Below are 20,358 nucleotides of genomic sequence, written 5' to 3' on the forward strand. Positions count from 1 at the left end.
GAAAGAGAAAGAAAGAGAGGGAGAGTGAGGGAGGAAGGAAGGAAGGAAGGGAGGGAGGGAGGAAAAGAAAGAAAGAAAAGAGAAAGAAAGAAAGAAAGAAAGAAAGAAAGAAAGAAAGAAAGAAAGAAAGAAAAAGAAAAAAGGAATGGAGGGAGGAAGGGAATAAAGAAGGAACAAAAGAGAAGATTTTGGCAGAACACTTTCTAAAATGTAACTCAACCGCCCCTGCTTTCTTAAAGAGTGGAGGAACTTTATTTAACTTCTTATTTTTTTCTTTTCTTGGTTGTAACATTATCACAAAAAGAACTGATTTCACTGCTATCGGATAAAAAATAATAGGTTTAGGCCATGGTTGGGGGGAGAGAGAGAGAGAAGTGAGAGAGAAAGACACACACACACACACACACACACAGAGAGAGAGAGAGAGAGAGAGAAAGAGAGAGGGAGAGAAATATTTGCCTGCACACCTGAGAGGTCCCAAATTACTGTGCCTTTTGGAATTCTTGTGCCTGTCTGTTTTTTACATTTTTTTTCTGTTGCTCTCTTCTTTGGGCCATCAGCAGTTACCTCTTGTTAGTGTGCAAGACTATGCAAAGCCTTCTCCCTAATGCTGATTTTCTATTTCTAAATTGCTGTGGGCATAGAGAAACTCACACTGGTTAAGGATATGTGTGCAATAAACATAAATGCTTTTCAAGTCAGGAACTGAGGGCTGGTTCTTCTCTGAGAAAAGCATAAGAAAAGCGTCTCTCAAGTGTTGTTTTATTTTTTAAAAAATTCATTGTTTCTAAGCTATTTTCTAGATATGTGAGGCTAGCAATGGCTCAGTTCTATGTAAATAAAAATATATATTAAGTATTGTCAACCTACCCGCCCCACCCCTGGCAGAGATTGCTTACTCAAATGCTTACATTCGGATGATATATATCTTTCTTGCCCTGAAGTTTTGAAAATTTTAATAGCTCCATGGATTGAAATGACATGAGAGAAAAATATTTCAAGTCTCTTTTAGAATTTTTATGCTCATAAAAATGTTCCCAGTGTATCAAAGGCAAGTTTGATCTCAGAGAAGTCATATCCTCCAAAATCTATCTCAGGTGCTATCTCCCTATTGATGACACTTTCCTCTTTTCCCAATTGGTTTATAAAACTCATTTTCCAAGTGGGCAAAGGACATGAATAGACACATCTCAAAAGAATACATGCAAGTGGCCAACAAACATATGAGAAAATACTCAATATCACTAATCATCAGAGAAATGCAAATTAAAACCACAATGAGATACCATCTCACACCAGTGAGAATGGCTATTAAAAAGTCAATAGGCTGGGGGTGGTGCCTCAAGCCTGTAATCCCAGCACTTTGGGAGGCCGAGGTGGGCGGATCACGAGATCAGGAGTTCAAGACCAGCCTGACCAATATGGTGAAACCCCGTCTCTACTAAAAATACAAAAATTAGCCAGGCCTGGTGGCGTGTGCCTGTAGTCCCAACCACTCGGGAGGCCGAGGCAGAAGAATCACTTGAACCTGGGAGGTGGAGGTTGCAGTGAGCTGAGATCACACCACTGCACTGCAGCCTGGGAGACAGAGCAAGACTACGTCTCAAAAAAAAAAAAAATCAATAAATTACAGCTGCTGGCAAGGATGTGGAGAAAAAGGAATGCTTATACACTGTTATTGGGAATGTAAATTAGTTCATCCCCTATGGAAAACAGTATGGAGATTTCTCAAATAACTAAAAATAGAACTACCATTTGACCCAGCAACCCCACTACTGGGTAACTACCCAAAGGAACAGAAATCGTTATGTCAAAAAGACACCTGCACTCAGATGTTTATAGTTGCACTAGTCACAATAGCAAAGAGGATGGAATCAACCTAAGTGCCCATTCCTGGTGGGCTGGATAAAGAAAATGTGGTACCATGGAATATTATGCAGCCCTAAAAAAGAATAAAATCATGTCCTTTGCAACAATATGGATGCAGCTGGATGCCATTATCCTAAGTGAATTAACATAGAAACAGAAAACCAAATGTCATGTTCTCACTTATAAATGAGAGCTAGACAATAGGCATACGTGGACATAAAGACAGAAACAGTAGACACTGGGGATTCCAGAAGGGGAGACAAAGGGAGTGGGGTAAGGGCTGAAAAACTACCTATTGGGTACTATGTTCACTATTGGGGTGATGGATTCAATAGCAGCCCAAACCCCAGCATTATGCAATATACCCTTCTAACACACCTGCACAAGTATACCCTGAGTCTAAAATTTTTTTAAGTTAATTTTTAAAAAACTCATTTTCCATGACTGGTCATTTCTGTTTAAGATTCTATTGGTCAAAACTGCTATCTAGGCAGTTGCCAGTCCTTCAGGATTTCCAAGCAGAAACCATAATGAGTATTAAAAATCAGTGGGCTGGGAGCTCTAAGTCCCCAAACACATTCACAGTCAACCATGTGATGTTCCCCATTGACAACCCACAAGCAGAGGCAAGCTGCGGGGTGCCGCCCGACCAGAGCAGATTGCAGCCAGGCTGGCCTTCCTGAAAGACACACACACTGGTCCCTGGACCCTGGGACGCCCCCGCTCCCCCGACTGTTTATGTTTGCTGTCACACACTGAACAATCACGCGGTACACTTCACAGTCAGCAAGTTTATCTTGAGTTAAAGTTTGACCAGTAGAAACCAAGTTGTGTTTACCCCCGTCCTACAGCAAGTCATGTGCAAATAGCACCTGTGAACATTTTTCAGCACACATTCTGTACCCTCTCCATGGTTCTCATGGCAATGAATGTTGCGGGGAAAGCCAGTAAGCGTGAAAGCTTTGGCAAATGTTAAAATCCTCTCCGGAAATGGTTCACAATCACTGACATCAGGGTGCATGGGTCATGACCATCTTCGTCGTTAGAGCACATTCCCTCTTCCCCAAAATGCAAACTCAACCCAATAACCCTTCTACTAAACAGACTAGAAACTCTGAATGCTGTGACATATTTTCTCACTGTAATAAGAATACACTTACATGTTTTTTTAATTGTTAGAATTTAAAAGGATTTTATAGACTGGATTTCACAATACTTTCCAACTGTTGTATTTCATATTTATGCATTGGTCACAATGTGTTAAGCACTATTCTAAGTGCTTTCAAATATTATTAATTCATTTATTCCTCCTAACAACTTTGTGAGATAAGTACTATTATTACCCCATTTTACAGATCTGCAAACTGAGGCACAAAGAGATTCAGTAATTTGTCCAAGGTTACATGCATTGCTAGAGAGTGGTAGAGCCAGTGAGTTGAACCCAGGCCCAGACAAAAGCAAGTATATACCCATTTTCCATGCTGCCTTACTACATAAATGTAAGTATTGGTAATACTGTCTCTTTTTTTCCAAATAAATTGAAGAGAAGCTGATTTTTTAAATATTTACTATATTAGTTTGCTAGGGCTACTATAACAGAGTACCCTAGACTCAGTGGCTTAAACAATAGAAACTTATTTTCTCACAATTCTGGCGGCTAGATGTCTGAGATCAAGGTGCCATCAGGCTTGGTTTCTCTTGAGGCCTTTCTCTTTGCCTTATAGATAGCCACCTTCACCAGTTCACCTTACACGGATTTCACCCTGAGTGCATCTGTATCCTAATTTCCTCTCCTTAAAAAACACCAGTCGTATAGGATTAGGGCTCACAGCAATGACCTCATTTGAACTTAATTACCTCTTTAAGACCCCGTCTCCAAATAGAGTCCCATTCTGAGGTTAGTGGGGTTAGGGGTTCAACATATGAATTTTGGGGGACACAATTCACTATAACATCTACTACATGGTCATAATGTGCTAGCTACTATATGAAATGTCAAAATGTTGAGCTCCAAGTTCTTTAAGAAGGCACAGTATTCATAGTGGACATTTATTTGAATGACAAAGTTGACACGGCTCTTGTTTCTTTCTAGAAGGTTGACTTGACCATGCTCTCCAATTTGAAGTGGGTACTATGACCGAGGCATAGTGCTTGCCATTGTTTTACCTTGACTTCCTCACTTCGTACACCAAGGGTGAGAAACTGTTCATCTCTCTCTATCGTCTGTGTTTCATCTCTCTCTCTCTTTATCATCTGTCTTTCATCCATGTAGCTATTTATGTATCTACTGATCTGTCTGACTATCTATATGTCAATCAGTCATCTCAATGGACCACAAATTAAGGAATGAAGTAGTCATCTTGCTATTATGTGTGTCTTGGGCATGTCTTTAAAAAGACTCCATTTTAGCTTTCTCATTATAAAATGTGTCTCTTAAGCCAACTGTAGAAAGTAAGACTTAGTATAAAGGGAAGGAGCTTTATGGCAGGAAATCTAAGGTAAGCCATCTTTTATGACTAGAAGTAAATCCCTGGGTACAGGGAAAAATCAGAGATGTGGAAATAATAGGCGCGTGTATATGTAAGTATGAGATATTCATCTCACAGCGCCTGTCATGTAGGAGGTGATTTAAAATTATTAAAGGAAGGAAAACAGTATCCTGTCCCAGTTTTTTCCAACAAATGTCATAAACAGATACCTGCAATGATTTAGGTCCCTACAATATAATTTTACTTCTCATATAAAAGCAAATATTATCCTGCCTCTCCTACTTCTAATTCCCCAAGGAGAGCATGTCCTTCTTAACTGTGTTCATCACTTCTGCAATTACTGTGAATGTGGAAGTGCTATTTAAATAAATTTTAGAGCATTATACGAGTGTTACCATGAATGTTTGCCACTCCTTTCCCTTCTTTTGGTTTTGAATCCCAGGAAACTAAAAACAAAATTGGACACTAGTGAAATGAAGTTGCCAGGATAATGCTGAGTAAACTATGGCAATCCTTTGTTAACCCTAGTGTTGTAATAATGAGGTTCAGCATTTGTTTTTTAAAATTTCAAAATCTGTGATCTTTTAGCAGATGTTGGGCTCAGTTCAATATCCTTCACAGTGATGACTTTCCTTTCCTGTAGGTTATGCATGCCAGGATTGAGGAACTGCCTGTGTTCTACCCTTCAATGAATGGATAGAAATGTAGATCCAGAAAAAAAAATGTGCCCTTAAGTTCCTCAATATTTTGGGAAGTTGCCAAGTGGTTACTGTAGTAGATTACGGCATTGTTTGCAATTATTTGTCCTTTCTCCTTTAAAAGGGTTATATATCCCTGCCTTAGACCCCTTATAAGTAAGTGTACTTCCCTGTCCCTATCAGGCTTGCTCATGTGATTTTCATTGGCCAATGACGTATGAGTAGACAAGGTATATGCCACTTAGGAGCAGAAGCTTTAAATGTGATCATGTGGTTCCACTTGGTCTCTTGCTCTTCTGCCCTGTTCCAAGAGAAAAGCATTTTCCAGATAGGAGCTGCTCCTTCAGCTGCATCCTGGGATGAGAAAACACATGGGACAGAGCCATAGCAGACTCATAGCCTACGTGTATCATGAGCAAGAAATACATTGATGACGTAACAACTGAGATTTTGGGGGATTGTTTGTTATGCAGTGAAGCTGACTAATACAGTTACACAAGATTTTGCTGAGATTTGCACAAATAAAACAAGGGAGGATGTGAGTGCAAGAAGATGTTATACTTCACAGTAAGGGCTAGTTTCTAAACATGAAAGAACACATAGCTTATGTAACATGACATTTGTTGGAGAATATGCCCTAGAAAATCATGATATCACAGATATATACTAAATATCTGAAGGAGATTACGGAGAAAACATTTCCAGCGGAGGAGTTCTTTAATATAGACAGAGCTTGTTTCAGAATTGGTATCTTCCTGAATATTTGGTTTGTGTATATATTTTTACATATATATGTGTAATTACTCAAACATAGTATCATTTTAAATTTTTATTCTCTAAACCCCATTTTTAATGAGTTCTTGATCTTGCCAACTAAGGTTCTGTTAATATTTTTCAGAAGTGTACGATAGGTTACAGATTATAGCTCTGCACGCCAGTAGGTTTAGAAATAAGTGTTTATTGAATGTAAATACTACAAGGAGAAAACTGGAGCACCATGATAAAACTTGAGCTTAGAATAGTACCTGGTATAGAGTAGATGCTAAAAAATACTTATTGATTGACTGAGTAAATTACAATACTGTAGAGTTTAGGTAAGATAAGGGGTAACTTTGTCCTGAGGTTTGTTTGCTGTTTATTTAATTATGAATTCTCTCCCTTCTCATTCCATAAAGACTCTGGGTCAACTCATTCTGGAGGATGTGCCTCATACAAGTCATTTCTTTTTCTTTGTTTTCCTACACAGAAAGTGGGAATCGTAAGAGTGAGAAGAAAATGTTTAAAATGTTTGGAGAACTTTTGCGCTTTATAACTGTACTCCCTTGCCCCTTTTCCCTGCTTGTTGAGTATTTGTGGCTTATTGCTGTTGTCTCTGTGATTGATTCAGAGTCCACTCTGATGACTCCTGTTCTGCTCTCTACCTTATGCTGTGCTGGGCATGCCTATGAGCGGAAGACCCCAATTCATGGTCTCGAAAGCTGTGTTGGAGGACAATGAATGGGGAGAATGCAGTCTTGGAAATTTGGAAATAGGTGGGATCCAAAGAGCACCCCAATATAGCATTTGCTTATTGTTCATAAAATAGTTGTTGAATGCATGAATATATACTTTTTGAGACTGTAGAGATGCTTGTAGGAAGAGCAGCTGAACACCTGGCGAGGATAGCGATTATTTGCATGTGTCCAGCTGTGTGCCTGTGCCAGGGCTAAGTCTCCTAGGAAACCAGAGTAGCACCACATTGTGAACCTGATGTCATGACGGTGGCAAGCAGTTTAGTTTCCTGCCTCCACCAGAGTGAGGGCATACTTGGTGTTAGTAAATTTCATAAATGTAACATTTTAGGTATTAAATAGATTTTAATTAAATAAATTATATATTTCTGAAATTAAATAATTAACAATAATAAACCTCCTCATTTACCCTCAAATATTGAGGTAGTAAGAGAAGAGTAATCATTTAGGTTTATGCCTTTCTGGGTATCAGTATTTAAGAGCACCCAGGAATAGCTGAAGTTGTCTTTTCTCTGTCTGAACCCCCTCCAGTAACTTGCATGCCCTGTAAAGGCAGAAATTACACATGCCTGGTTCACTGCTGGGTCCTCAGTTACTACCTGGGTTCCTTCTTGTTACAGGCACTAATACAGACTTGATGACTGCTTGATGAGCTGTACTGAGAGGGCCCAAAGCCATGACAGGCCCAGCCCACATCACTGCTTGGCAGGAGCCGCTCCTAAGTCAGTGTTGCCCTGGGGAATCTGAGAAAACACCTAGGTGGATAAATTAGTACATTTCTGGCCAAAGGGCCTCTCTGAAATCTCACACAAATTAGTTGCAGAAAAAGAGCACTTAAGGTGACTCATGCCTGTAATCCCAACACCTTGGGAGGCCGAGCCAGGTGGATCTCTTGAGGTCAGGAGTTCAAGACCAGCCTGGCCAACATGGCAAAACCCTGTCTCTACTAAAAATACAAAAATTAGCCAGGCGTGGTGGTGTGCGCCTATAGTCCCAGCTACTCGGGAGGCTGAGACAGGAGAATCACTTGAGCCCAGGAGGTGGAGGTTGTGGTGAGCAGAGATCACACCACTGCACTCTAGCCTGGGTGACAGAGCAAGACTCTGTCTCAAAAAAAAAAGAGAACATTTGGTATTTAATGTTAAACATGGACGGATATCTATAATATTAATAAGACCTTCTATTTGTTGAGCAATACTATGTTTTAAACACTGACATTAATTCATTTAATGCTCACAGCCACTCTATGAGGTCTTGTGGTAGGCTGTCTCTGCGATGACCCCTGTTGATCCTCACCTCCTAGCATTCACTTCCTTGTATAATCTCTTCTCCTTGAGTGTGGACTGGATTCATATACTTGTCTTGAATGAGTAGAGTATGTCAAAATAATAGGATGTCCCCTTCAAGATCAGATTGTAAAAAGTCTGTGGCTTCTGTCTTTGGTGCTCCAGCTGCCATGCCATGAGCCACCCTGTAGAGAGGTCTATATGACAAAGCACTGAGGGAGACCCCCAGCCAACAGCCAGGGAGAAAGTGGAACCCTCAGTCCAACCGACTCCATTGGATGCAATCCTGTTGGCAACCACGTGCATGGACTTGGAAGAAGATCCTGCCCCAGTCACACCTTCAGATGGGACTGTAGCCTCAGACAGTAGTTGGACTGCAACCTCATGAGATACTTTGAGCCACAAGCTCCTGGCTGAGTCGTGCTTGGCTTCATAACCCACAGAAGTTGTGGCTAATACATGTTTACTGGTTCAAGCTGCTAAGTTTTGGGATAATTTATCATACAGCAATAGATAACAAATATAGGTAGGTACAGGTATTATTTGCATTTTACAGAAGAGGAAACTGAGGTTTAGAGAGGATGGAAATGATGGAGCCAGGATGTGGACCTTCAAATATGACTCCAAGGACTGCACAATTGATAACAAGAATCAGTTTTGGATAATGTTAAGCATATTACTGTTGTTCAGTCCAGGTTGGTACTGTGCAGAAACTACGTGCTTCCAGACTCTAGAAAAGCTAATATGAGCAGAAAAAAGGATGGTTTCCTCCCAAGCCAGGTAAAGATTTTAAAAGATACACAAGAAAAAAATTATAGATCATACAGGCAACGACAGAGCATTAACATTCCATTTCTAACAAAGATGATCTTAGTATTAGTCAGAGTTCTCCAGAGAGACAAGACCAATAGGAGATAGATGGATGGATAGATGGATGGATGGATAGATGATAGATAGATAGATAGATAGATGATAGATAGATAGATAGATAGATAGATAAAGAGAGGATTATTAGGGGAATTGGCTCATATGATTATGGAGGCAGAGAAGTCCCATGACAAGCCGCCCACAAACTGCATGCCTGCAGTATGGCTCAGTCCAAAAGCCTCAGAACCAGAGAAGCCAATGGTGCAACTCTGAGTCTGAGGCCAAAGGCCTGAGAACCCAGGGTGTCCTGGAGTCTAAAGGCTGAAAAGCCTGGAGTTCTGATATCCAAGGGCAACAGAAACAGGGTGTCCCAGGTCCAGGAGAAAGAAAGAAAGATTTCTCCTTTCCTCTGCCTTGTTGTTCTATGTGGGCCCCCAGCTGATTGGATGGTGCCCGCCTACATTGAGGGCAGATCTTTCCCACTCGGTCCACTGACTCACATGCCAGTCTCCTCTGGAAACACCCTCACAGACACACCCAGATTTGAGGCTTTACCAGCTCTCTAGGTATTCCTTAATCCAGTTAAGACCTAAAATTAACTATCACAGCTTCCCTGCCTTCCAGTCCACCACTCAAAAATAACCATTCTCAGCAGTTCCTTCTGTTCTCTATTGCCTCAAAATTATGCAAAACACAGCAAATGTGGATGTACATTTGCATATATAAAAATATTGTGTGTGTGTATGTGTGTGTGTGTGTGTACGCATATACATGTACAGCTGACTCTAGAGCAACATGAGGGTTAGGGGCACCGATCCCCCAACACAGTTGAAAATCTGCATATAACTCTTGACTCCCCTAAAACATAACTACCAAAAGCCTATTGTTGATCAGAAGCCTTGCCAATAACACAGTCAAGCAACACCTATTTTATATGTTATATGTCTTAGATTCTGTATTCTTAGAAAAAAGTAAGCCAGAGAAAAGAAAATGTTATTAAGAAAATCATAAAGAAGAGAAAATCTACTTACCATGTGTCAAGTGGTAGTGCATCATCCTAAAGGTCCTCATCCTCATTGTGTTCATGTTGAGTAGGCTGAGCAGTGGGGAGGAAGAGGAGGGATTGGTCTTGCTGTCTCAGGGGTAGCAGAGGTAGAAGAAAATCTGTGCATAGTGGACCTGCACAGTTCAAGCCCATGTTGTTCAAGGGCCAATTGTGTACACAACACCACACACACGCACACACACACACACACGAATGTGCACAAAAATTTGGGATCATGGTTATTTCTATTATTTATTGCTACATAACAAATCACCCCCAAACGTAGTGGTCTAAAACAGTAGCAAGTGTTTCCCGGCTAATTTTTTGTATTTTTAGTAGAGACGGGGTTTCACCGTGTTAGCCGGGATGGTCTCGATCTCCTGACCTGGTGATCTTCCCGCCTCCATCTCCCAAAGTGCTGGGATGTGTTTTGGTATAATTTTGTCAAGGTAGTAGTAATCTAAATTCAAGCAGTGGAATTCCTGGATCAAAGGGAACATACATTGAAAATTACAATTGCTATTGTTAAATTGCTCTCAGATGAGTCTATTAATATTAGCAACATGACCACCAGTTAACAGTCCCCATAACAATATTTATGAGTTCCTTTCTCCACATATCTTCACAGGCACTAATTATTTTTGCCAATTAGGTGAACACTTTATAATTTTTGCCAATTAGGTGAACAATGGCATCCTGTTATGATTTGGATATGCATTCTTAATTTCAAGTAAGTGTGCTTATCACACATTTGTGTGACTTTCCTTATAAGCTGCCCATTCATATTCTTTGCCCAATTTTTAATTTATTGATTCGTGCCAGCTTTTCTTTATTGGTTTGTACCAGCTTTTTATAATTTAAGAAAATTAACCCTGTGTTTCTCATATATGTTGCAAGTATTTGCCCTGATTGTCACATTTTTAAAGGTAATTTTGTCATACAAAAGGATGTATACTTTTATGGCATTAAATTTATAATTTTTTAAATCTGTGGCTTCTACACTAGAAAGGACTTTGCTAGACAGAGATGATCAATAAACACACCCATGATTTTTTAAACCTTATGGTTTCAAATTTTACCTTTAAATTTTTTATACACATGGAATTTATTGGGGGAAAGAGTGTGGTAAGAATGAGCTTAATTTATTTTTTTAAGTGGCTAGCCACTGGTTCCAACACCGTTTGTTGAATAGCCCTTCTTTTCACCTCTTACAAGCAGCCTTTACTACTTTCACCTGTTCCACCCTCATCAAGTGTCTACTGCCTACCCCTTTGGGTAGATGATGACAATGACCTAGGATTAGGGCAGAAGCTACTGTTCCTATAAAGAGAAGGCCCTTTATATAACTTCTTACTACAAGCATATACATGCCCTACCTTAGAGGCTAAGCTGATCTGTCCACTCACCCCCACCCCCAGCCTCTCTGAGATAATTTTCCTTATGCATATTTGGCAATTCTTGCCCACTTGTTTTGTTTTTGTTTTTTTTTTTTTGAGACAGAGTCTCGCTCTGTTGCGCAGGCTGGAGTGCAATTGCGATAGCACGATCTCGACTCACTGCAGCCTCTGACTCCCGGGTTCAAGCAATTCTCCTGCCTTGGCCTCCCAAGTTGCTGGGATTACAGGTGCCTGCCACCATGCCCATCTAATTTTTTTTGTAATTTTAGTAGAGACAGAGTTTTGCCATCTTAGCCAGGCTGGTCTCAAACTGCTGACCTTAGGTGATCTGCCTGCCTTGGCCTCTCAAAATGCTAGAATTACAGGCATGAGCCACAGCACCCGGCCAGCACTTGATCATTTATGGGTCAGTGCTCTAGGCGCAACCACTCTGTAAGTCACTTTCACAAAGTGTTCTTCAAGATTATTCATTTTCTCCTCAATAGATGCAGAAAAAGCATTTGACAATGTTCAACATTCTTTCTTGATTAAAAAGTCTCAACGCTTTAGGTATAGAAGGAAATTTCCTCAACATAATAAAGGCTGTTTATGAAAATCCTAGAGATAGCAACATAAGCAGTGGGAAAAATGGAAAGCTTTTCCTCTAAGATCCAGTACAAGGCAGGGATGCCCATTCTTGCCACTTCTATTCAACATAGTATTGAAAGTACTACCCAGAGCAGTCAGATAAGAAAAAAATATGAAGGGCATCTAAATCAGAAAAGAAGTAAAATTATCCCTTTTTATCGGTGACATGATCCTATATGTAGAAAACCCTAACAACTTCAAACACACAAAAAAAACCTGTTTAAACTAATAAACGAATTCAGTAAAGTTGGAGAATACAAAATCAACATACAAAAATCAGTACCTTTCTTCACAACAATAATGACTTATCCAAAAAATAAAGAAAACAATTTCATTAATAACATTAAAAAGAATAAAATAATTAGGAATAAATTTAACCAAGTAGCTGAAAGACCTGTACACTAAAAATTATAAAACATTGATAAAAGAAGTTTAAGATGACACAAATAATGGAAAGAGATCCCATATTCATGGACAGAAAGAATTAATATTGTTAAAATGTTCATAGTACACAAAGCAGTATGAAGATTCAAAGCCATCCTTGTCAATATTCCAATTACATTTTTTACAGAACTAGAGAAATCAGTTCTAAAATCTGTATGGAATCACAGAAGACCCCAATAGCCAAAGTTATTAAGAAAGAAAAACAAAGTTGAAGTCATCATACTTGGTGATTTTTAAATTTTACTACAAATCTATAGTAATCAAAACAGTATGGTATTGACATAAAAACAGACACATGAACCAACAGAACAGAATAGACAGTCCAGAAATAAACCCAAACATATACAATCAACTAATTTTTGACAAGAGCACCAAGAAGGTACAATGGAGAAATCAGTCTCTTTAGTAAATCGTGTTGGGAATGCAAGATATCCACATGAAAATGAATGAAGTTAGACCTTATCTTACAACAGACACAAAAATCAACTTAAAATAGATTAAGATGTAAGTTAAGACCTGAAACCATGAAACTCCTAGAAGAAAACAGGGGGAAAGCTCCTTGGCATTGGCCTTGGCAATGACTTTTTTTTAAATATTACATCAAAACCTCAGGCAACAAAAGCAAAAATAAATAAGTGGGACTATATCAAATTAAAAATTTTCCACACAGCAAGGAAAACAATCAACAAAATGAAAAGAATAGAGCCTATGGATTGTGAGAGAATATTTGTGTACCATATATTAGTAATTGCTGTTTTTGCCATTACTTTTAATGGCATTAATGGCAGTTTCTGCCATTACTTTTAATGGCAAAAGCCACAATTCCTTTTGCACCAACATGATATTTGATACAGGGTTAATATACAAAATATATAGGAACTCACACAACTCAAAAGCAACAACAAGAACAGATAACCCAGTTAAAACATGGGCAAAGCACCTGAACAGACATTTCTCCAACGAAGACATAAAAATGGCCAGCAGGTGTATGAAAAGGTGCTCAGCATCACTAATTATCGGAGTAATGCAAATCAAAACCACAATGTGATATCACCTGACATCCATCAAGATGACTATTACCAAAAAGAAGAGATAACAAGTGTTGGACAGGGTGCGGAGAAAAGGGAACCCTTATACACTGTTGGTAGGAATATAAATCGGGACAGTCATTATGGAAAAAATTGCAGGGGGTTCTCAAAAAAACACTAAAAATAGAGCTACCTATCATATGACTCAGCAATCTCTGTGCTGGATATATGCCCAAAGGAAATTAAATCAGTACCTTACAGAGATACCTGCTCTCCCATGTTCATTGCAGTATTATTCACAATAGCCAAGATATTGAAGCAACCTAAGTGTCCATCAACTGACGGATGGATAAAGAAATTGTTCATCACAGGGATTTGGTAAAAGCAGTTTCCCTGTGTTAGCACAACTTATTGAGGGATTGTAAAGGTCAGCCAAAGGAAAGGATACAATCATGGTCTAACTCAGACCACAGACCAGTATGGCTTGAACATTTTCCTTAATCAGTATGCTTTTATGCACACACACACACACACATATGCACATATATATACATATAGTGGAATATTACACAGCCTTTAAAAAGTAGATATTGCCATTTTTGACAACATGGATGAACCTGGAGGACATTATGTTAAGTGAAACAAGCCAGCCACAGAAAGAAAAATACTGTGATTCATCTTATATGTGGAATCTAAAAAAGAAGTTAAATAAGTAGAAAAGAGACAGTAGAATGGCTGTTACTGGGGATGGGAGAGGGAGAAGTGGGGAGAGGTCAAAGGGTGCAAATGTAGGATAAATAAATCTAAAGGTATGGTGTACAGCATAGTTAATAATATTATATTGTATACTGGAAATTCGTGAAGAGAGTAGATTTTAGGTGTTCTTATCATACACACACAAAAAATAACTGCGAGATGATGAATATGTTAATTTGCTTGACTGTAGTAACGATTTCACTCTGTATATATATGTCAAAACATCATGTTGTATGCCTTAAATATAGACAATTTTGTTAAAAAGGGAAAAACTACCAATGAATAAAATGGAATTTTTAAAACACCATTTGTCTCTGTAGAGTTGAATCGCTGTAGGAGTTGATATTGACGTGACCCTTCTCTTTGTGAAGGCACATGGCACTTTGCACTGTGTCATGAATCCTTTTGGTTTGGTGGGGTGGGTACCCCCTACCTCTATTTATGTGATAAAAGCTAGGATTATACTGAAGGTCCCTTTACCTCAGTATAAAATTTGTTTTTGTTTTTTTCAATTGCCTAATCTAGGCTGCTTGGAAAAAGTTACATTGGTGCCGGGATTCAGCCCTTGCCTGGACAGAGGTGGCCGCTAGAGTCATCAGCATGGACACTGGCACCAGTGACTACATAGGTCCCAGGATCGTAGCCAGCCACCTCGGGTGCCTCCGGAGACCACTTGAGAAGTGCAGAGACTGTGGGCCAGCCCCTCATTCTTGTCTGAGACAGTGATGCCCTCCCCACTCAGTAATTATGCACAGCTAGCAGAGGTGGGAGCTGGGTTCTCCCACACCCTGCAGCAAATCGGAAATCCCAGGGTGAGGACAGGAGGATAGAATTGTTGTGCCAGCTCAGCACCCACTCCTCTTGTGTGCCCAGGCAGGCTGCTGAGATCCCCCAGCATTCTGGGCTGGGCAAGAACTCAGATTTCCACCTGAGGTTGGAGAAGCTTCAGAGTTCAGCCCCTGACCAGCAGAGTCCTGGGAGAGAGGGCAGTGCTAGCAGATAAAATCTCAGCCAATGGGGCTGTGCAGGTGGCCCCAAGGCCTCCAGCTCCACAGATAAGAATCAGAAGCACAGCCATCTCAATTAGAAAGCAATTTGAGTTATCACGCTAATTAAAGGGGTGTGCAGGCACAAGACCTGACTAGATCTAGATCCCTAACGTTAACAAAAATCAGATGGTTGAGAATAAGAATTTCACATAAATAGAAATGTGAAAGTACGATGTGCAACTGAGAAGTTGCCATGATTTTTTCTTTTCAGGCTGTTGGTAATTTTCATCATCAGATACATTATTTCTGATGGGGGAGGGGTGGGGGTGTGTGAATAGGGCCGCTGACTTTTTTGTTCATTTAAAATCAGTATAATTTGCTGAAGAAGGTTGAATGACTCCTACATTTTTTAAGGCAGCTCTGAAATGAATGGCTTCATTTAATCACAAAAGAAGGAATACCAGCAAGACCACCCAGGCCCCAGCTCCGGTTTTTCCTGAAGAATTTGGCCGCATCTCCCTTTTTGAAGGCAGAGTTTCATCTTGTAAGTATAAGATTCCTTTGTTTCTTTGATGATCCTAAAGCACTGGTGTCATCTGAGGGAAATGACCTTTTAGGTAACAACACCAGCCATCACTGGGGGCTTTCCGTGTAAGAGGACCACACTGAAGTCACAGGCTATGAAGCTGTCCTATAAGAGGCAGGTGAGGCTCCCTGGGCAGGTAACAGGTGGGGAAGAGGCATCCAGGCACATGTCGTGCTGTGGTTCACAAAAGGTGCGACCACCACTATCTACAAGAGGCTGACAAAAACTATTTTGCAAAAAGAGAACCATGACTGTTTGGATCTTGAAAAGTTTAAGGGTCCTCCTCCCCTCCCCAGGCGGCCATGAGCATCTGAGGCCGGCGCCTGTGGCAAGACGTAGCAATGAGCCACCAGGTCCCTAAGGTACTACGTTGCATTTCTCAATCTGACTTTGTTTAGTTTGGGGAAAACATTTTTTCGGTCCTGAAAAAAAAAATCACTGTGGTTTCTCTCCTACTCCCGCCCTCTGTAATCGCCACTTGCAAGAGTTTCACCATTTTCCCGGAAAACCAAAAAAATGAGGATGCTGGGCAGACATTCTTTGTTTCTTTTCTTCCATCTCCCTCTGCCCCAGGCCGTCTCGTCTGCCCACTCTCCCTACACCTCCTTCCTTCACGCTGGGCTCGCCTCTTTCTCCTTACCAGATTTCCTTTTCGGAATCCAGCTCAACCCTCACCTTGGTAAATAACGCCTCAGTAGACTTAGAGGTAGCCCGGGTCCTTCCGCCCATACGGTGCCAGCACACCCTTGGCCCCATCACAGGCTCAGGCTCAGCCAGCTGCGGGCAGTTCACTGCTTCCTCTCTGCAGCACCCCCTGGTCATCCTGCTTGATGTTTCCCTTCTCCCTGTGGGCACTTGTAGCTTATCAACTCACTCATCAACCAACAGCTCCTGAGCTCCCACTAAGGATCAATTGCACTGTGCAATATTATTTTGCACCCGCCCTTTTGGAAGCCTTCTAACGTCATTTCACATGCATAGGCACGCAGGCTTCTCTCCTCCACCACATGTTGTCAACTGACCTATTCCTGTCCTTTCTACTCCCTTTACCAGGGTGGTGTCAGGAGTGAGTAGCACATTAGTCAAAGCCCCTGGATTCTCTTAAACGGTTCTGCTACTGACTCACTATGTGAGTGTAGACAAGTCACTTCCCTTTCTCAGCCCTAACTTCCCCAGCCATAACATGCTCTCTGTAGTCTGGAAAGAACACAGCTAGAATGAATGGGATGTCCTCTATACACAGGGCAACTCCATAATTCATTGTCCAGCTTTCACTTTCGAGAACAGCAGGGGGTGTTTTCATGTGTATAACAGGACAGGCTTAAACAGGTTTGTACCTGGCAAACCCAGGGCGTACGGGGCATGCCAGTTTCTGGGATCTCAGGTAAAAATGGGGATAGGAGCAGGCATTCCTCAGCTTATCACCTCCTAGTTCACAGAGATAGAACATCAGCAGCTTGCTGTAGTCTGAGCTATTAGGTTTGCTCTAGGGAAGGAGGCAAGAAATTCAGTCTATCTTTCATACATTTCCAACCTGTGTGCAAAAACAATCAGACATAACTCTCCAACACCCACAGGGTGATCTGAGACATGGTGGGTAAAGATGAGCAAAACTGTTAGAGCAACAAAGAAGGCTCTTATCTGTGCATTATAAGTCCCAGCCTCAAACATGCCATGCCATGCCATGCCCCTCTGAAATTTAAACCACCCTGATACCAAGCACTTGCCTATTTCGGGTGTCTAAAATAACACCGGGCCAAGTCAATTAAGTTGGGCCCAGAGGAAGAGCTAACAGGACCCCAGCATGGCTCTAAGGGGTCTTAGTAACTTCTGAGAATTCAGAAGTGGAAGTGTTTGCATATAAGAGCTACATCTGGGCCTGCAGCTCTCAGGGCCCTTGACTTAATTCCTTCTGGGGAGGAATATCCAGGCAGGAATAGAGAATCAGGATGTAGCATGCAACCACGATGAGGAATCAGCAGAAACAGAGCCACCCTTGCTTGGCTCAGAAACCAGATACCAGGCGCTAGGCAGGAATTCGCCCCTGGGAAGCTGTTGCTTAATCCTCTAGTTCCTCAGGCTCCTGGCCTCCTTGACAAAGGCCAAGCCAAACAGGGATCCCAGGTGAGGCCAGGCTGCCCAGCCAGTGCCAGCTCATTCAGGATTAGACTAGGGCTGGGAGGAGCCCAGGCAAACCTTCAGGATGTCAGGCACTGAACAGAATCCCAGAGGTAGGCAAGTTGCTGCAGCTCCAATAATCCAGTGGAAAAGTGCTAATTTCCCAAAGGCCTTTCATCACAAGGCCCAAGTAGTCTTTGGCCTGAGTCTAGCTAGAACCACTGGGATCTGGGATGAAACTGAGCAATTGCAGGTCTTGCTGGCGAGTGAAGAGAGGTTTGGCTGCAACTGGGTCCCAGTTGACCGGGTCACAAGGATCAGCCAGTTTCTAGGTGCAGAGTTGGGATCCGCGGCCTTTGCCCCTAAGCAGCCCCACTGATACCTCCAAGGAACTGTTTTAGTATAAAAGGGAGGGGGAAGGGAAAAGTTTATTCCATTATCGAAGGTGGAGGGTAGGGAGAAGAAGAACAGGAGATGGTTGTCTGAGTGTATTTATTTTCTTCTAAAATGTAAACTGAACTGGAAATGCCTACAGAAACACACAGGCACTTTGATCATCAGCCCACTGGGTGGGCAACATGTCTAATCTCTGCTCTGCCCTGCACATTGCAGGCACTTTACAGCTGTATAACGACATCTCCACCGTGGTGGTGGCCACATTTATTGGCTTTGTGACATTCATCAGGGCTTCCTTCTTATTAAAAATGCATGGGCTGCAGCTATTTGGAAGGACACCAGATATATTCACTCTAGGTAGAAAATATTTCTCCTTTCTCCAGGAACCCAAATGAAGCACCCCAGATCTTGGGGAATACAGAGAAGTGAGTGGGCAGAGAGTCTGTGGTGGCAGAGGTGGGACACAGAGCCGAGCTGTCCCCAGGTTAGGTGTCTCAGATGAAGGAAGTCCCCCAGACCGCATTTCCTCCTGGAGTGATTCTGCCTTATTGACTGTGATGGTAAAGAACTGACTGTGTATTTTCCATTTATTTACTCCCATATATTCTCCACTTTAATGCAGGGAGGTAAGATTAGGGAGTTGGCCCATTTCGTCCCTTTGATTTCTTGTCACTCAGCCCCAAATGCAGAAGCTCAGTGGACTAGCTGCTCCCAGGGAATGACAAACAGCTTGAACATTTCAAGGGACTAAAAGTTGATGGTGGCAGGTGAGAGAGGCCAGTGGGGGAGGAAAGAACCGGTCCTGAGGAGGCTCCTCCTCAATTCTGTTCAGTTTTTAAAACTAGAGTTTTTTCCTCTTAGTTCCTTCCCTTGGCCTTGAGGCTGTCCCAGTAGACACAGGGAGGTTGGGGCAGGGCTGGAGCCCTGCGGATGCTCTGATGAGTGAGAATGAGTCACCCGCTCAGGCCTCTTTCTGCTTAAGCAGAGGTAAAGGTCCAGCTTTGTAATAGCCGGAGTGTGAGGATCCCTCGCACTGATCTGCCCACAATGGGCCGCCGGCAGGCCCAGAGACCCTCAAGTCTCATCCTCAGTGGTCTACCGAGCTGTGCACGGCCAGCTTCCCTGAATTCACTCCAAAGTCCCAGCCAAGCCCCCTCTATGTATTACAGGTAGTTAGGCATGAAAGGGGCAGAAGAGAGGTCTCTCCATCACCCACTAGAAATCTCGGGTGATGATTCGGCAATGATCGCATCGCTTCTCTAAAAATGACAATTCCACCGCACCAGAAGAGACCATTTCCTGATGGTCCGCACCTGTTAACATCAAACTGTTAATCGAATGCAGGCTCCAGGGAGAAGCAACTTCCTGGGCATGCGTGTTAAGAGACAAAAAATGATGACGTTTGATGACCACTCCACCAGAAAAGGGAAGAAAGCCTGAGGGGCCTGCGTGGACCTCCCTAAACACACTGCGCATGCTCCATTCCAAACGGTATGGCGAGCACTGCGCATGCGGGAAACCCACCCTGTAAGGGAAGAATCCTGGGAAAGAGGCAAGCCTATGAAGTCCCAGGATCAAGGTTAAAGACCCTCTTTTTTACTGTCTTCTTGTGCTCTCTTTTCTCTCTTGGACCTTCAGGCGCCTGCTTGGGTCTCTTTCAAGCGAATTTTGCTTTCTTTCCTGTTCTAAAGCCTTTTAACTAAACTTCCACTCCTGCTCTGAAACTTGCTCTCTTTTTCTGCCTTAACGCCCCTCAGTCGAATTCTTTCTTCTGAGGAGGCAAGGACTGAAGTTGCTGTGGACCCATAGGGATTCGCCATTGGTAACTCGGGGTAACTCGGCTCTCTTCCACTGCTGACGTATGTAGCAAGTCCTGTCTTCGGGTTGGCAGGCACCACGGCTGACACCACATGCGCAGAGAGAGGGGAAAGACCAAGAAGTGACTCATGACATCACCCTCGTCTCTGAAAGACAAGATGTTGGTCTCCTCAGGTGCCGTGCAGTCTTCAGTGTTGGCTGCAGCCACAGCCCCTGCAATGCAGACCAGGATGAGGGAAAGCCGCTGGAAGAGGCCTACAGCATTTTTTATTAGTAAATCCAGAGGACGTGTTATATAAAGTGTAAGACAACCACCATTGCATGCATTTATTCATTCACTCATTCAGTAAGGAATTTTCCATTTCTTTATAAATGAGTAAAAGGTACAGGCTGGGTGGCCTTGGCCAGTATCCCATTAATGAAAGACAGATTTG

At 42.0% G+C, this 20,358-nt stretch overlaps 3 long non-coding RNA genes across 3 annotated transcripts, besides 3 other annotated features; 2 read left to right on the forward strand and 1 right to left on the reverse strand.

Moving 5' to 3' along the window:
• Nucleotides 2,440–2,734: a silencer, noted in NCBI's record as "tiled region #10666; K562 Repressive non-DNase unmatched - State 7:EnhWF". NCBI's record gives its function as "weakly represses a minimal TATA promoter and a strong SV40 promoter by Sharpr-MPRA in K562 cells {active_cell/tissue: K562}" and the evidence as "EXISTENCE:reporter gene assay evidence [ECO:0000049][PMID:27701403]".
• Nucleotides 2,440–2,734: an enhancer, noted in NCBI's record as "tiled region #10666; HepG2 Activating DNase matched - State 5:Enh". NCBI's record gives its function as "activates a minimal TATA promoter and a strong SV40 promoter by Sharpr-MPRA in HepG2 cells {active_cell/tissue: HepG2}" and the evidence as "EXISTENCE:reporter gene assay evidence [ECO:0000049][PMID:27701403]".
• On the forward strand, nt 5,606–20,241 carry LOC101927787 (uncharacterized). The gene is made up of 4 exons (NR_125944.1): nt 5,606–5,822; nt 14,543–14,781; nt 15,425–15,550; nt 19,451–20,241. It is a non-coding gene; the product is annotated as an uncharacterized LOC101927787 (long non-coding RNA).
• Nucleotides 6,377–8,773, forward strand: LOC105373207 (uncharacterized). The gene is made up of 3 exons (XR_949286.3): nt 6,377–6,588; nt 7,188–7,289; nt 8,019–8,773. It is a non-coding gene; the product is annotated as an uncharacterized LOC105373207 (long non-coding RNA).
• On the reverse strand, nt 10,005–16,514 carry LOC124904554 (uncharacterized). The gene is made up of 2 exons (XR_007066950.1): nt 16,268–16,514; nt 10,005–10,247 (listed from the first exon to the last, which is right to left on the reverse strand). It is a non-coding gene; the product is annotated as an uncharacterized LOC124904554 (long non-coding RNA).
• Nucleotides 15,890–17,089: an enhancer, noted in NCBI's record as "P300/CBP strongly-dependent group 1 enhancer chr1:234792319-234793518 (GRCh37/hg19 assembly coordinates)". NCBI's record gives its function as "activates an origin of replication core promoter dependent on BRD2, BRD4, P300/CBP, MED14 and CDK7 cofactors, with strong dependence on P300/CBP, by STARR-seq in HCT116 cells {active_cell/tissue: HCT116}" and the evidence as "EXISTENCE:reporter gene assay evidence [ECO:0000049][PMID:35650434]".
• Nucleotides 20,242–20,358: the final 117 nt, after the last annotated feature.

This window comes from Homo sapiens, chromosome 1, assembly GCF_000001405.40.
Source record: "Homo sapiens chromosome 1, GRCh38.p14 Primary Assembly".
Taxonomy (NCBI): Eukaryota; Metazoa; Chordata; class Mammalia; order Primates; family Hominidae; genus Homo; species Homo sapiens.